This window comes from Homo sapiens, chromosome 17 (genome assembly GCF_000001405.40).
Source record: "Homo sapiens chromosome 17, GRCh38.p14 Primary Assembly".
NCBI lineage: Eukaryota > Metazoa > Chordata > Mammalia > Primates > Hominidae > Homo > Homo sapiens.
In genome coordinates, this window is record NC_000017.11 from 59,387,878 (window position 1) to 59,403,602 (window position 15,725).

The following is a 15,725-nucleotide window of genomic DNA, read 5'->3' on the forward strand; positions in this document are numbered from 1 at the left end:
GGTAGAGCTGGACCAAGAGGCCAAGCGAAGGAGCTTGTGGTGGTTTCCATGCCTGGGCCAGCCTGGGAAAGCTGTGGCCAGCACAGATGGCTGAAATCAGGTGGGACCAGGAAACGCCAATGCGGATTAATGATCTCAGGTGAATTAATTACATCAGGCAATGTCAGGAGGGAAGAAGTTTTTAATGACATAGTGGTTTTGGGTTTTTTTCATTTTCTCACCTGGGCTAGTGAAAACAGTCCGGTGGGCCAGATCGAGCTTTGTGGCTCTGTTAATTCCGCCCTCTTCTCCGCCCCCACACCATCTGCCAGCGGGACCGTTAACTGGCTCAGTACTCCCTTTTGCTGTGTCAGTCCTGGAAGGTCATGCTTAACTGTGATTGGGGTTGGTTTCCCAAACAGATAGGTGAAATGGATGTCTAACTATCGATTTGTTTTCTTGCATTTCAGTCATTCCAAGGAAGTCAAGGACGAGCATACCTCTTTAACTCAGTGTGAGTGCCTCTGAATGGTACATTCCTTGTGGGGTACAGATTCGAGGGATGGGAAAAAGCAATCCTTGGTGATAATTAAACAATGAACCCTGCCCTGTCTGCCACAGTAAAACTCTGTGGAGCATTACTGTCCACAATTGGTAGTCAGTTACCTTTGGGGAACATTTCTTGCCAACATCTCTGGCTAAAAATAATATATTCACTACATTCCCCTCAGAGGGCACACCAGAGGACTGTAGTCCCACAGGGAAGAAGCTGAGGAGATTCTGAGAGCCTCAACCTGAAGGGCTCATAATGAGATCTGAGATTTGTCACTGGGGAAGAGAATATGGGTGAAAAAGACACCAAGATCTGCTGCGGGACCTAAGGAGGAAGGAAGGCCCACTTCGGGCAGATGCACAGTTTCCAGGGCACTCAGCCATCCCCAGGCACCAGGTTTATCACCTCTTCCCTGGGAAGGGAAGGTGAAGCCTACATAAGCCTGATAAACTGTAAAAATGAAAATCTGGCCTGTGGCTTGAGCTGGGCACCCTGTGAAGGAGTAGAGCCTATTCAGCACCCAGGGATCACTCATTCCTGTATCAGGACCACACTGTGCTATCATGTGTGGCATCTTCAGCTTCATTCAGTCCTCAGTAAGCTGTGAGGACCTGTGCCCATGGCTGTGGACTTCACAGTGTGGCTGTCAGCTTGTCCCCCTAAGTCACAGATTTAAAGTATTTGTTAGAAAAATTAAAATTTTAAGCAAACTCTCAACCATAAAGATTATTTCGGTAGACCCACTCCACTAGAACTTGCAGATCTGAATTTCCTTCCAGCTGAGATATTTCCCTGTGGCCACCTTTTGGGGATTGGTTTAGATCTGCTCAGCTCAGGGTTGGCTCCCCTTGGGACAGCCTTTCCCAGTTAATTTTTGCTGGAAGCTCAGCTTGAATGCCTGATGTGCGTGTCACTAACTACCCACTCTCTCTTCTTGTGCCTCGACATAGAGTTAATGTGGGCTGTGGGCCTGCAGAAGAGCGAGTGTTGCTAACAGGACTGCATGCAGTCGCAGACATTTACTGTGAAAACTGCAAAACCACTCTGGGCTGGAAATACGTAAGTATAAAGGAGTTTGGTTGGTAGAGGGCTGGAAGGGAATTGCCAAGAGCCTTATGCCAGAACACTTTCTTCTACTCGCTTTCCATGGCCTTGTGGGATTGTCTTAGACCAGAATAGTCACCTGTCTACCACACTCATTCTTTCCTTTCTGCTGATATATTTCCCTCCTCCTATTCATTCCTTCACACCTACCCCCTGAGACACACACCCCTTTAGATTTAATAAATAATAATAGTAATGGCATATAACCTTACTCGACAGCTCACTAGATGCCAGGCATGCATCAGCAGCCTTAGAGGTTAGATGCTATCTTCACCTCTATTTTATGGATAGGGATACTGAGACTTAAGGAGGTTAATAGTATGTCCAAGGCAATCTAGCCATTAAATAGCCACACCAGGATAGGAATCCATGTAATATTCTGTTATTTATTTTTTATTTCTAAATTTTTCATTCTCAAAGGACGTGACCATGTAGTAGTATTCTGACACAGAGCCCATGCTGTTTTTTAAATATTAGGCAAATTTATTTTATTTTATTTTATTTTGAGACAGAGTTTTGGTCTGTCGCCCAGGCTGGAGTACAGTGGCGCAATCTCAGCTCACCACAACCTCTGTCTCCCAGATTCAAGCGATTCTCATGCCTCAGCCTCCCAAGTAGCTGGGATTACAGGCACGCGTCACCATGCCTGGCTTATTTTTTGTATTTTTAGTAGAGACAGGATTTCACCATGTTGGCCGGGCTGGTCTCGAACTCCTGACCTCAGGTGATCCACCCCCGTCAGGCTCCCAAAGTGCTGGGATTACAGGTGTGAGCCACCATGCCTGGCCAACAAATTTATTTCTTAATAAATAGAGACAGGGTCTCACTGTGTTGCTCAGGCTGGCCTCAAACTCCTGAGCTCAAGCAGTCTTCCCAACTTGGCCTCCCAAAGTGCTGGGATTATAGGCGTGAGCCACACTGTTGCCTGGTCCAGAACCCATGTTCTGAAGCCACTGTACTTTGATACTCCAATAAATGTTCCTAAAACACCTAGGTCCCAGGCCCTGAGCAAGGCATTATCAAAAACTGCCTTAATTAACATCCACTGTCAGATGTGATCATGGCTGGACCTCTCCCAAATGGACAATTATTCTTTCATTGTTTAACTCAGCAAAAAATGTTAAGGTCCCTTTGGGGCCTGGGGAAAGTGAGCAGTCCTTTGCCAGAGTGAGAGGAGGGAAGGGCTGGGATCTGCTGCTTGAACGCTGGGGACTAATTGTCCTAACATGCGCTGGGGTCACCACATAACCATAGACACTGCCCCTACAGTCCCTCTAGCTAGTGGTTAAGAACCATCTAGGCAGCTAGAGTCAGGTTCAAATTTGGGATCCATGACTTATTTGTCTGTGTGTCCTTGGACAAGCTACTTAGCTTCTATGCTAAGTTTCCTCATACTTACAGAGTTGGTTTGAGTGTTAAATAGGATCATGCCTATAAAACACTTAGGTCATCACCTTGCATAGAGCATATGTCAGTGAAAATTAACTTAAATTGTTATTTTTATTATTAGCAGATTTTTTTCAGCCTGCACGTGTACATCCATGCATTGCACATTCCTTTCTGTTCTTGCCCTCCCTGTCATTGTGAGGATACTGAAAAGTTGGTCTTCCTGTCTCTGGGAAGGCAATTTAGTCCATGTAAAATGTCTCAAATTCCCTGTCCTGTCATATGGCTCATGAACTGCCTCTGGCTTCTGAAGGAGCCTGAAGGAGTTGTCAAACCTGCCGCAGAGTGCTGACGATATGTCAGTGTAGGTTCATCCATTGTAACAAATGTTCTAATCTGGTGTGGGATTTTGATAGTGGGGGAGTCTGGAGGTGGGTAGCGGGTATGTGGAAAATCTCTGTACTTTCTGCTCAATTTTGCTGTGACCCTAATGCTGCTCTAAAAATAACATCTTTTGGGAAAAAAATATATTTACACACATATAAAATAATGTGAGCAGTACATGCCAGGCACTGAATTATGATTCCATTGAAATAGTTTGAAAATGTGGAAATCATTAAAAAAAAAAATTGTCCCAGGTGGAGCCTGGTAGCACTGCCTTTAGATTCCATTTTCCCCATCTCCCTGGAAACATTCAGGATTACAAACAAAAATGGGGCCAGGCGTAATAGCTCAGGCCTATAACCCCAGCAGTTTGGGAGGCCGAGGTGGGTGGATCACCTGAGGTCAAGAGTTCGAGACCCGCCTGGCCAACATATAGTGAAACTCCGTCTCTACCAAAAATAAAAATATTAGCTGGGCATGGTGGCAGATGCCTGTAATCCCAGCTACTCAGGAGGCTTAGGCAGGAGAATCGCTTGAACCCAGGAGGCGGAGGTTGCAGTGAGCCGAGATCATGCCATTGCACTCCAGCCTGGGCGACAGAGTGAGACTCTATCTCAAAAAACAAGCAAAAAAAAAAAACCTAGATAGTGTGTTGTGTGGTGCCAAGATGGGTTAGCCACAGCTTCCTATGGTTGGCTTGGTTGTTCCTGTGGGAGAAGCTGGATTTGGCCATTCTATTCCCTCTGTACAGTCACGGGCCCCCTCTGGGTGATGATGGGTGGGGGACACAGTTCTAATTGTGGTTATCCAGAAATGTTCTTCATTGCTTCTTGGCCTTTTGGCTAAGATCAAGTGCAGAAAAGTTCTGCCCCTGCCCCTGTTTCCCAGCCTCTTGGCTGTCTTACTGCCCTGAAGATGTGTTGGATTGAAGATACATGATAAGCCTGAGTTGGTTGGTTTTGCTCCCCACTTGAGGTTCAGGTAAAACAATTCATTCTTTTGACAAAGGTTTATCAAAAGCCTTTGACTAAATACCAAAAAAATGGATAAGATCCAGTGTCTGTCCTCAAAGTGTTGACAGTCATGATGCCAGCTGAGGAGGAAAACCAACATGAAAACAGATCAAACAGCCTGACAAGTACTGTGATGTGCACAGCACAGCAGGGAAACACCCAACACCCCAAATATGCATCCGTCACCTCCTATGTGCCAGCTCAGGGCACGTTTTTTTTTTTTTTTTTTTTTGAGATGGAGTCTCACTCTGTCACCCAGGCTGGAGTGCAATGGTGTGATCTCGGCTTACTGCAACCTCCACCTCCTGGGTTCAAGCAATTCTCCTGCCTCAGCCTCCAGAGTAGCTGGGATTACAGGTGTGCGCCACCACGCCCAGCTAATTTTTTTTCTATTTTTAGTAGAGACGGGGTTTCACCATGTTGGTCAGGCTGGTCTCGAACTCCTCACCTCGTGATCTGCCCGCCTCAGCCTTTCAAAGTGCTGGGATTACAGGTGTGAGCCACCGTGCCCGGCCCTAAATTTTTTGTATTTTCAGTAGAGACACAGGTTCACCATTTGGTCAGGCTGGTCTCCATCTCCTGACCTCAGGTGATCCCCCCACCTTGGTCTCCCAAAGTGCTGGGATTACAGGTGTGAGCCACCGCACCTGGCCCTCCTTTCATTCCATTGTTATCTCTGTGAAGTAAGTGTGAATCTCCCAGTTCTGTAAGTGATGGTTCAATGCTGGGAAGCAGTAGAGGCAGGATTAGTTGGTGTGTTTCTGTTGACACCAGGTCTAGTGCACTTTCCATTGGAATCCAATTCTGACATTTTCCAAATGCCTCTGTGTCTCGGGGCTATTGATTTATTTTATTTATTTTTTGAGACAGGCCCCTGGCTGGACTGCAGTGGTGCAGTCTGGCTCACAGCAGCCTCAACCTCCTGGACCCAGATGATCTTCCTGCCTCAGCCTCATGAGTAGTTAGGACCACAGGTGCATGACATCACACCCAGCTGATTTTTGTATTTTTTTTTTTTTTTGTAGAGATGAGGTTTTTGTCATGTTTCCCAGGCTGGTCTCAAACCGGCCTCAAGCAGTCTTCCTGCCTCAGCCTCTCAAAGGGTTAGGATTATGGGTGTGAGCCACCACGCCTGGCCGAATTTTTTTTTTCATAATAGGAAACTCATTTTCTTTTTTTTTATTTTTATTTTATTTTATTTTTTATTTTTTTATTTTATTTATTTATTTATTTTTTATTGATCATTCTTGGGTGTTTCTCGCAGAGGGGGATTTGGCAGGGTCATAGGACAATAGTGGAGGGAAGGTCAGCAGATAAACAAGTGAACAAAGGTCTCTGGTTTTCCTAGGCAGAGGACCCTGCGGCCTTCCGCAGTGTTTGTGTCCCTGGGTACTTGAGATTAGGGAGTGGTGATGACTCTTAACGAGCATGCTGCCTTCAAGCATCTGTTTAACAAAGCACATCTTGCACCGCCCTTAATCCATTTAACCCTGAGTGGACACAGCACATGTTTCAGAGAGCACAGGGTTGGGGGTAAGGTCATAGATCAACAGGATCCCAAGGCAGAAGAATTTTTCTTAGTACAGAACAAAATGAAAAGTCTCCCATGTCTACTTCTTTCTACACAGACACAGCAGTCATCCGATTTCGCAATCTTTTCCCCACCTTTCCCCCTTTTCTATTCCACAAAACCGCCATTGTCATCATGGCCCGTTCTCAATGAGCTGTTGGGTACACCTTCCAGACGGGGTGGTGGCCGGGCAGAGGGGCTTCTCACTTCCCAGTAGGGGCGGCCGGGCAGAGGAGCCCCTCACCTCCCGGACGCGGCAGCTGGCCAGGCGGGGGGCTGACCCCCCGACCTCCCTCCCGGACGGGGCGGCTGGCCGGGCGGGGGGCTGACCCCCACCTCCCTCCCAGACAGGGTGGCTGCCGGGCGGAGACACTCCTCACTTCCCACACGGGGTGGCTGCTGGGCGGAGGGTCTCCTCACTTCTCAGATGGGGCGGCCGGGCAGAGACGGCTCCTCACTTCCCAGACGGGGTCGCGGCCGGGCAGAGGCGCTCCTCACATCCCAGACGGGGCGGCGGGGCAGAGGCGCTCCCCACATCTCAGACGATGGGCGGCCGGGCAGAGACGCTCCTCACTTCCTAGATGGGATGGCGGCCGGGAAGAGGCACTCCTCACTTTCCAGACTGGGCAGCCAGGCAGAGGGGCTCCTCACATCCCAGACGATGGGCGGCCGGGCAGAGACGCTCCTCACTTCCTAGATGGGATGGTGGCTGGGCAGAGACGCTCCTCACTTTCCAGACTGGGCAGCCAGGCAGAGGGGCTCCTCACATCCCAGACGATGGGCGGCCAGGCAGAGAGGCTCCTCACTTCCCAGACGGGGTGGCGGCCGGGCAGAGGCTGCAATCTCGGCACTTTGGGAGGCCAAGGCAGGCGGCTGGGAGGTGGAGGTTGTAGCGAGCCGAGATCACGCCACTGCACTTCAGCCTGGGCACCATTGAGCACTGAGTGAACCAGACTCCGTCTGCAATCCCGGCACCTCGGGAGGCTGAGGCTGGCGGATCACTCGCGGTTAGGAGCTGGAGACCAGCCCGGCCAACACAGCGAAACCCCGTCTCCACCAAATAAATACGAAAACCAGTCAGGCGTGGCGGCACGCGCCTGCAATCGCAGGCACTCAGCAGGCTGAGGCAGGAGAATCAGGCAGGGAGGTTGCAGTGAGTCGAGATGGCATCAGTACAGTCCAGCTTCGGCTCGGCATCAGAGGGAGACCGTGGGGAGAGGGAGAGGGAGAGGGACAGGAAACTCATTTTCTTAGTTTTGCTTTTTCCTCCTTCCCCCCCAAACACATTACCGTGGAACAATGGACCTTATTCCCAAAACACATTGCTCTGTCATGTGTATACACGCATGTGTGCATGTGTGTGCACAGAGACGGAATAATGAAGTGTCAGGGACATTGCTGCTCTGGTGTGCCTGAGCTCTTGTTCTGAAACACAAAGCCCCTGAGCTCTAGAACAGAAGACACAGTTGATACAACGGTGACCCAGAACCCCGCAAGGGTACGCCTCAATTCCTTACTAATTCTGGGGGCTCAGGGAAGGGCTGATGTCCACTGCTTGTGCATATGGAGCTGAGACACAGATGACCAGTGTTTTTCAGAGAATACACCAAGATGTTCTTATGTGTGTATCTCTGCAAACAAAAGAGCCCTGTTTATTCGCTGGGAGAGCCCACAGTGCTGTGGGTTTAGAAAAGTCACCTGCCAGGTGGTTAGTATGACGTTCTCCCTCTGGGGGCCTGGCAGTTAGGTGGGGCTTAAGGACTGCCAGGTTCTCTGGCCTGGAGTTTATACAGCTCCTGTCTCCACACATCTGACATAGAAGCAGCAAGAAAAACCGATTGAGAAGGAGACCTGTCTGGCCTCACGGTATTTTGTTCCTCTCCCTGTCTTCTCTAAGCCTAACAATTACAGTTTAAAATTAGAACCAGGCGTCCGGGCGCGGTGGCTCACACCTGTAATCCCAGCACTTTGGGAGGCCTAGGCGGGTGGATCACGAGGTCAGGAGATTGAGACCATCCTGGCTAACATGGTGAAACCCCGTCTCTACTGAAAATACAAAAAAAATTTAGCTGGGCATGGTGGCAGGCTCCTGTAGTCCCAGCTACTCGGGAGGCTGAGGAGGGAGAATGGCTTGAACCCGGGAGACGGAGCTTGTAGTGAGCCGAGATTGCACCACTGCACTCCAGCCTGGGCGACTGAGCAAGACTCCGTCTCAAAATAATAATAAATAAAATTAGAACCAGGTTTTCTTATGTTCTTAGAAACTAGCAGGAATGACACAGAAACTTTATGGATCTAACCCAGGGCAAACTTCCGTTAGCACCAGTAAACCAAGATTTATATATATGTAAATTTATATATGTAAATGTACTAATTCATTCAGCAATTATGTATTGAAATTCTGTTATGTGCCAGGCAGTCTTCTAAGGCTACAGCCATGAGCTAAACATGAAAGTCTCTGCACTCCATGAAGTTTATATTGTAGTCATGGGAGACAGAGCATAAACAAAATAGAAATGCAAATTATAATGTATATTCAGAAGTGAGAAGTACAGTGAAGAAAACTAAAGCAGGGGTTGGGGCAGAAGGGAGAAAGGGAGTACTGGAGTGGAAGTTGGATTTTAAGTAGGGTAGCTGGGGAAGACCTTACTGAGGGGGTGACATTGCAAAGACTTAAATGAGCGAAGCTCCTGGAAAATTGTGTTGTAATATTGTGAAAGTCCTGGTGTTGCCTCAGTTCTGCAGCTAAGCGAGGGGGACATAAAGCGCTTGAGGGGTAGGAATCATCTCGCTGAGTCAAGGTGAAGCTGGGACCAGACCGTGGTGACGCTGATACCTGTCATCTGCCCCTGCTTCTCTGCTACAAAAGGCATTTCCTTGGCCGGGTATGGTGGCTCACACCTGTAATCCCAGCAGGCATGAGGGAGGCCAAGGTGAGTGGATCACCTGAGCTCCGGAGTTAGAGACCAGCCTGTCCAACATGGTGAAACCCCATCTTTACTAAAAATACAAAAATTAGCCAGGTGTGGTGGTGGGTGCCTGTAATCCCAGCTACTTGGGAGGCTGAGGCAGGAGAATCGCTCGAACCTGGGAGGCGGAGATTGCAGTGAGTGGAGATTGCGTCATTGCACTCCAGCCTGGGTGACAGAGTGAGACTGCCTCAAAAAAGAAAAAAAAAATCATTTTCTTGTCTTTGGTCGTTCAGTATCTCTTCTCTGCTTCTGTATTTCCTAGGAACATGCTTTTGAAAGCAGCCAGAAATATAAAGAAGGCAAATACATCATTGAACTAGCACACATGATCAAGGACAATGGCTGGGACTGATTGGACAGCATCTACCCAACCCAGTGTCCACGTGAACGCCATTCAACCGAACATTCTTCCCAAGCGTGAGAGAGTGACTGACACTTGGTTCCATCCATTTAGGGGCCTTGCCATCCGGGGCATCCTCCCACCCTGACGCCATCTTTCTGGTGACCGGCCTCTAAATCGCTGTCTCTCTGTCTCTTTGCTTTGTATCTGTTTGTGAGTTGATCCTGGCTTCTCTCTCTGTTCTAGTTTTGGCTGAAAACAAAACAACAAAAGGAACAGATCCTTGACCGCATGGCGGCAGCCCACCTTGGTAAGGGCCCCAGGGCCCATGCGAGAGCTGCCTGATGGCCTCTTGTCAGGAGAGCAGTGGCACGGGGGCGTGAGGAAGAGGGAAAGGGGAAACTCTAAGGGTCCTGGCGCGGGGAAGGGGTGGAAGGGTGGAGGTAGGAACAAAATTGCGCCGCTCCTGGAGACCTGATAACTTAGGCTTGAAATAATTGACTTGTCTAAAAGGACAAAGAGAAAAAAAAAATACCTCATGACTGCATTCTCTCTGACTAGAAGCTTCTGTTCCTGACACCAAATGTGCCAGGTTAGCAAATGAGCACAAGATGTGGCCCTGATTCTAGTTGGTGGGGCAAGGGCCTGGTTCTCCTGGGCTGAGTGGGGGAGTGTCCTGGCAGCAGCGAGTGACCTGGGCAGTGGCCAGGTGGGTGCGATGACTCTGATGCCTCACTCAGTCTCTGGGCAATCATCATCTTTGCCTCTAGCCACCGTAGATAAGGTGTGAAGGGACTGCTGTTTGCAATGGGCTTACCATCCAAATATCCCAAAGGCTTTGACCAGCAACCAAGTAAAATCAGTAATTGAGGAGAGCAGGGCACAAAGGGGCTGCAGTTTGGGAGCTCCTGAAGAAATGGCTCAGATATTGAGTCAGAGAAATAAAAAGTAGGATCAGTTAGCAATTCTAACTGCCCTTCCTTCTGACCCCTCATAAGAGGAGTGTGGTGAGGGAGGGGACTGGGTAGGGGTCATCCCAGGAGGAGGGGTTTACATTGGAACCAGTTCAGGTTCGGTGCATCTTTCCTCTTCGGTTTTACAGTGGCTTCCGTGGGATCGTCAATTTCTTGTTCTTAGAGTTTCGGGTGTTTTTCTCCAGTCTTGTTACTGTAGACTGTAGAAAGCACGGGCCCCAGGCTCTGAGCTTAGTAATAACCTGGCTGGTAGATTCCTCATGCCCCTAATTGTCCCACTTAGGCCTGAATGTCTTGCATGGAGAGAAATCTCCTGTCAGTGTGGTCCAGCAGCAGGGAGGAGTTCTGCCCAAATTCCGATATCACCCCTTCCCCCATCCAAGCATCCTTCGATTAGGGAAGTGGAGAGCACATCCCTGTAAGGCCCATAAGAGAAAGAGGAGTTTGTTACATTTAATCAACACTGTGAAGTCTGTTCTACAGCAATTCAGCCATTACACAGTATATGACTGAAACTCATTTAACTGGGTTAATTTCATTTCTTAGACTGAATATATTATTGTTAAGATACGTGTGCGTGTTAGGTAATTCTCAGCATCTCCTCCAAGTAGGCCGACCTTCTCGGAAAATTCACCCTAAAAGTCTCACAAAAGAATGAGTTCATGGGGAGATTCTGTAAAGTGATGAACTGAGATGAAAGCAGCCAACAGCCCAGGAGCTTTTCAGAATAGCGTCTGCAGCAGAACCAGTTTCCATTCAGAGCGCGTCCTTGGTGGAAATGCTTTTTTGTGTGTCTCCACGCGCTGATGGTGGAATGGGAGCCCCAAGACGTGTGGGCTTAGAAATCAACTTTTGTTCCCCAAGGCTTCTTGTCCAGATCTTTCCAGTGCTTTCATAGCCCTGGGAGATCAAGTTGTTCTCCCCACTTTACTGCAAGGTAGACTGAAGTTCAGAAGAAATACTGAATTTCTGCTCCCAGAAGAATAGTTTCTCTGGCTCACAGGCCCAAGTTCTCAATGAAATCGTTTTTTAACTTTCACATTCCTAAGCTGGCTTCCCGGCACAGAAGCCATGGATTTCCCCTCTCTCCCTTCCCCCTCCTCAAGGAAATAGTCTTCCTTTATGGATTTTCATTGGACTCTTTCCTCAGCGATTGTCCTGGCTGTTTATTGATAGTCCTTCCCATAAGAAAATGGGGTTAAACATGGGGTAGGTATTTTGTCTTTCAAACTACAAATGGAATGTGGTGACATAAACTAGACATGGGGTGCCCTCAAGTTTCCAAGGGGACCAATGTGCCACTGTTCTTCCTTGGGGATGAGGCCTTTGACTGTTGGATGGATCAGAGCAGGCTCCAGTCAGACCCTGGTTCTGAATGTTTTTTTTTTCGGTGACTATCCAGTGAGCCTTCAGTGGGTGCAAGGCGCCATACTTGCTGTGAGAGAGCTGAGTAGAGTGTTGGTTTTTCCATAACTACAGGGGGAAAAAAAGTCATTAGGCTTTCCCTTTGTGTCAGTGAAACCAAAAGTGCTTCTTACAACGTTCGCTCTGTTCATGGGTTGTCTATCTAACATTGAGCAGCATTGGAGAGGCCACAGCTGAGCTATGGAGATGCTAAATTAACTCATGGCCTCAGTCAGTTCATTCTTTAATTTCCTCACCAAATTATTGACTTAGAGCATAACCAAAGACCTCATTCATTCACCCCAGGTGGGTTGGGGTAATTGGAGTTTGTTGGTGAAGTTTGGGGGCGGGGTGTTGGGAGTAGAGACAGGGTAAGGGGACGTGAGAAAGGAAAAGGCATGAAGTTCTATACCTCAGCCAGCAGCTGCCTTCGTTTGGAACTGAAGTCCAGCCAGCAGACTCTCTAGCTCCATCTCCCCTGTGCCACCCTAGGTCATATGACCTTGGCCACCTTGGAGTAGACCCAGACCCCTCGGGACCCGGGACATTAGTCTCAGGCTGCTGATGGATTGATTTGACATGAACCAAACACAGCCAAACTCGATACCCACAAGCTGTCAGCTGAACCTGACTGAGTGTTCTTCCTGAGTTCACGAGGATAGGCTAGAGTGCATTTTTACTGGTGGATCAGTGTGTGCGAAAGAGATGACCCTTTATAAAGAGATTTTCAAGTGGATATATATAAAAGAAACAGTTGCTTGTAAAATATACTTTTGTAAATAATATTTAATTTTTTAAATAATATATTTGGTGCTGTTTTCTCAGATCCCCTGAGAGCACTTTTTATTTTCCTTTTAAATTCTATGGTTTCCTTTGCATTTCTTGAAGTATATTTTAAGGGAAACAGTGATCACCAATACATGTTTTCAGTTTTTTTTTTTTTTAAGGTCTCTATCACTTTAATCTGGATCAAGGCTTTGAAGCAATGCCTCTCTGCATTTTTTCCCCAGTGGAACAGACTCTGCAGTACATTAATCAGGTTGAGAATTGAAATATTTTCTTGCATCAGTATTGGCTAGAAAAGAAAATAAATAAAACCAAGTTAATTTAGTAGTAACAACTTACAGTGATTCTTCCTGTTGGAAGAATTTCCAACAAATCAGAATCACGTTTTTAGTTGTGCGTGTGCGCGCACACGTGTGTAAAAAGCACTTTCGATTGTGCCTCCTGTTTTCTCGAGTGGGGACACTTTAACTACAGTTTACACCTCGGGCGCATAAAGTTTTTCTTCTCTTTCTCTCTGGTTGTTTCTGTTTCTGAGTGGACCAACAGCAGAACCCACGAGGATTTGTTTTGAGTATGGAGCTGTTGCGGGTTTGCTCCTTTTTCTTGCTTTGCGTGCTCAGTTTTTACAGACTGTAAAGGAGATGTGTTGTTTGTGAAGATGGAGCAGAGTCAAATCTGTGCTTCTAACTGAGATGAGAGTGTATTAATCACGTATCGCAGGGCTCCAGCTGTTTTAGAAGCCACATCATGTTAAACATTAACTGGTTTGGATTAAAAGAACATTAATATTATAATACACATATCTTAGTGGTAAACAGCTTTTTTTTTTTAAGGTCAGATTGCCTCAGGTTTAGAAAGAGGCTGAGAAATCAAATCTTGAACACAATCAACTTACATATTTTAAAGGAATCTGCCTCAAATGAGAAAATATGCTAGTTATCTAGATAGAGGAAAGAGATATTTACTTTTTTAAAAATTAAAATAGTTATGAAATCTGGCAGAAAAGGTAAAGCCTAGAAGAAACTATGAAAGCTATTCTCATGTTACCAAATTCTATCTGCGCATATGTTTTTGTATAACATTTCGGTGACAGTGGGAGTCGGTTCCCTTTCCCAACCTGCAGAGACTATCTTCCAATACAGAATCTGTCTATTTATGCTTGTGTTTACAAACTGTATTTGTTGGGTTTGGGTTTTTGTTTTCTTTGGTGGCATTTTTCAGGTCACTTTGCTTCTATAACAAAGGTAATTGTTTTCAAATAATTTGTCTTCACCTTTTCCTGTATTTGTACATAGTGATTCAGTATTAGAGAAAAGTGCATTGTTTCTGTCATATTTCCAATCTGTGTTGGTGCTCATTTGAGAAAATAAAAGTTTTCAAATATTAACTCTTTGAAGAGCTCATCTGTCTTCGTTGACCCAGTGTGTTTGATCTTGACATTTCATATTAAAGTATTTAAAGGCCTATCTAAATCCAGTCACAGATCTGTTGACTGAGACCCTAAGGGCTTGTTTTTCCCAAGGACAGTCAGCTAACTAATGAATAACAGCAGGTCTCCTGCTTATCTGCAAATGCTTCTCCTGGCTTTAGATATCAGAAATGCATGAGTGACCTTTATCCAGTTCTGTGTACAAAGCCCCATATTCATAGACTCTGCAGACTTTTCTGATGACACCAATTTCTTTGGAAATAGTATTGCATGAAGTAAAGGGAAAAAAAGAAGTAAAACAACAAAATTATGTCAAAAAGGGGTGGTATCATCTCTGAATGATTGGCTAATAGAGACCAGCATTCACAGTTATAACATGGCATATCAGATGTTCTCATTTTTATTTTATTTTTATTATCAACACATTTATTAAACATGTGTTTGATTCCAGGCACTGGGCAAGGCAGTTCTATCATCCTAATAAATAAGCTGTTTTTGTTTGCCAAGTACTTTTCATCTGGTCTGATCCATATGCACACACTGTCTTGTATATCCAGTCATTGTAAGTAAATTTTGTGAGCTGGTGCCTTCATTTAACATAAGCTAAACAGTTTTGTCTCGGCATCATCATTATTTTATTTTTTATTTTTATTTTATTTTATTTTATTTTATTTTTGAGACAGAGTCTCACTCTGTTGCCCAGACTGGAGTGCAGTGGCACCATCTCGGCTCACTGCAACCTCTGCCTCTTGGGTTCAAGTGATTCTCCTGACTCAGCCTCCTGAGTAGCTAGGATTATAGGCACGTGCCACCACGCCCGGCTAACTTTTGTATTTTTAGTAGAGACGGGGTTTCACCATGTTGGCCAGGCTGGTCTCGAACTCCTGATCTCAAGTGATCTGCCCACATCGTCCTCCCAAAGTGCTGGGATTACAGGTGTGAGCCACCGTGCCCAGTTTATCATTTTATACTATATCTTAAAGTACCTTTTCAAAAGCTTGCTTCCATATCTTATGGAGTACCCATCTTGTACAGGCAGCCAAAATGGCAAAGAAGATACTAAAACCACACAAGTGTGCATGTTTCACATTGCTAATATTTTTAAAGCCTTTCTATGGCCAGGCACTGTGGCTTATGCTCATAATCCCAGCACTTTGGGAGGCTAAGGCAGAAGGGTGGCTTGAGTCCAGGAGTTTACAACCAGCCGGGGCAACATAGTGAGACCCTATCTGTATAAAAAAATTAGCCAGGCATGGTGGTGCATGCCTGCAGTCCAGCTTCTTGGGAGGCTGCGCTGGGAGGATTGCTTGAGCCCAGAAAGTTGAGGCTGCAGTGGGTCGCGATTGTGCCACCAGACTCCAGCCTGGGTGACAGAATGAGACCCTGTCTTAAAAAAAACAAAAAAAATCTGTTTTATGAAAAAGGACATGCCTTCTCTCCTTCCCACACATTTTCACCTACCCATTCTGGGCCCAGCTACACTTGACTTTTATTTGTCCTTCAGTATATTATCTTCTTCCAGTGACCTGTTTTGCTTCAGTGGATGTGCCTGTTATCATTTCATTCTTGTTTGCCTTTTGCAGAGAAGGACGAGAGAAAAAGAATATGCATGAGACAACCAATGTCAAGCCATCCTTGGGTCCTCATTCTTTCAAGCTCTTGTTTCCCTGCTGGGAGAAAGGGAGGGGAGAGGACACTATCCCCATTTTGTAGATAATGAAATTGAGGTTTTGCAAGGTCTCATTACTAAACCATATTCCAATTTTAGCCTTGTTAAGTCTTTTTTTTTCCTTCGAGGTAGGGTCCGGCTCTGTCACCCAGGGCGGAGTGC

The 15,725-nt window shown here is 46.5% G+C and overlaps 1 protein-coding gene across 2 annotated transcripts in view, besides 1 other annotated feature; it reads left to right on the forward strand.

The window, feature by feature from the left end:
- YPEL2 (yippee like 2) overlaps window positions 1-13,852 on the forward strand; it is a 70,075-nt gene extending 56,223 nt beyond the window's left edge. For both annotated transcript variants that reach the window (NM_001005404.4, XM_017024621.2), the window contains exons 3-5: window positions 450-493; window positions 1,483-1,591; window positions 9,224-13,852. In NM_001005404.4, the coding sequence (NP_001005404.1) occupies window positions 450-493; window positions 1,483-1,591; window positions 9,224-9,313 (243 nt within the window). In that variant the 3' untranslated portion in view covers window positions 9,314-13,852. The remainder of the gene's footprint in view (window positions 1-449; window positions 494-1,482; window positions 1,592-9,223) is intronic.
- Window positions 8,611-9,810: an enhancer, noted in NCBI's record as "BRD4-independent group 4 enhancer chr17:57473849-57475048 (GRCh37/hg19 assembly coordinates)". NCBI's record gives its function as "activates an origin of replication core promoter dependent on BRD2, P300/CBP, MED14 and CDK7 cofactors, and independent of BRD4, by STARR-seq in HCT116 cells {active_cell/tissue: HCT116}" and the evidence as "EXISTENCE:reporter gene assay evidence [ECO:0000049][PMID:35650434]".
- Window positions 13,853-15,725: the final 1,873 nt, after the last annotated feature.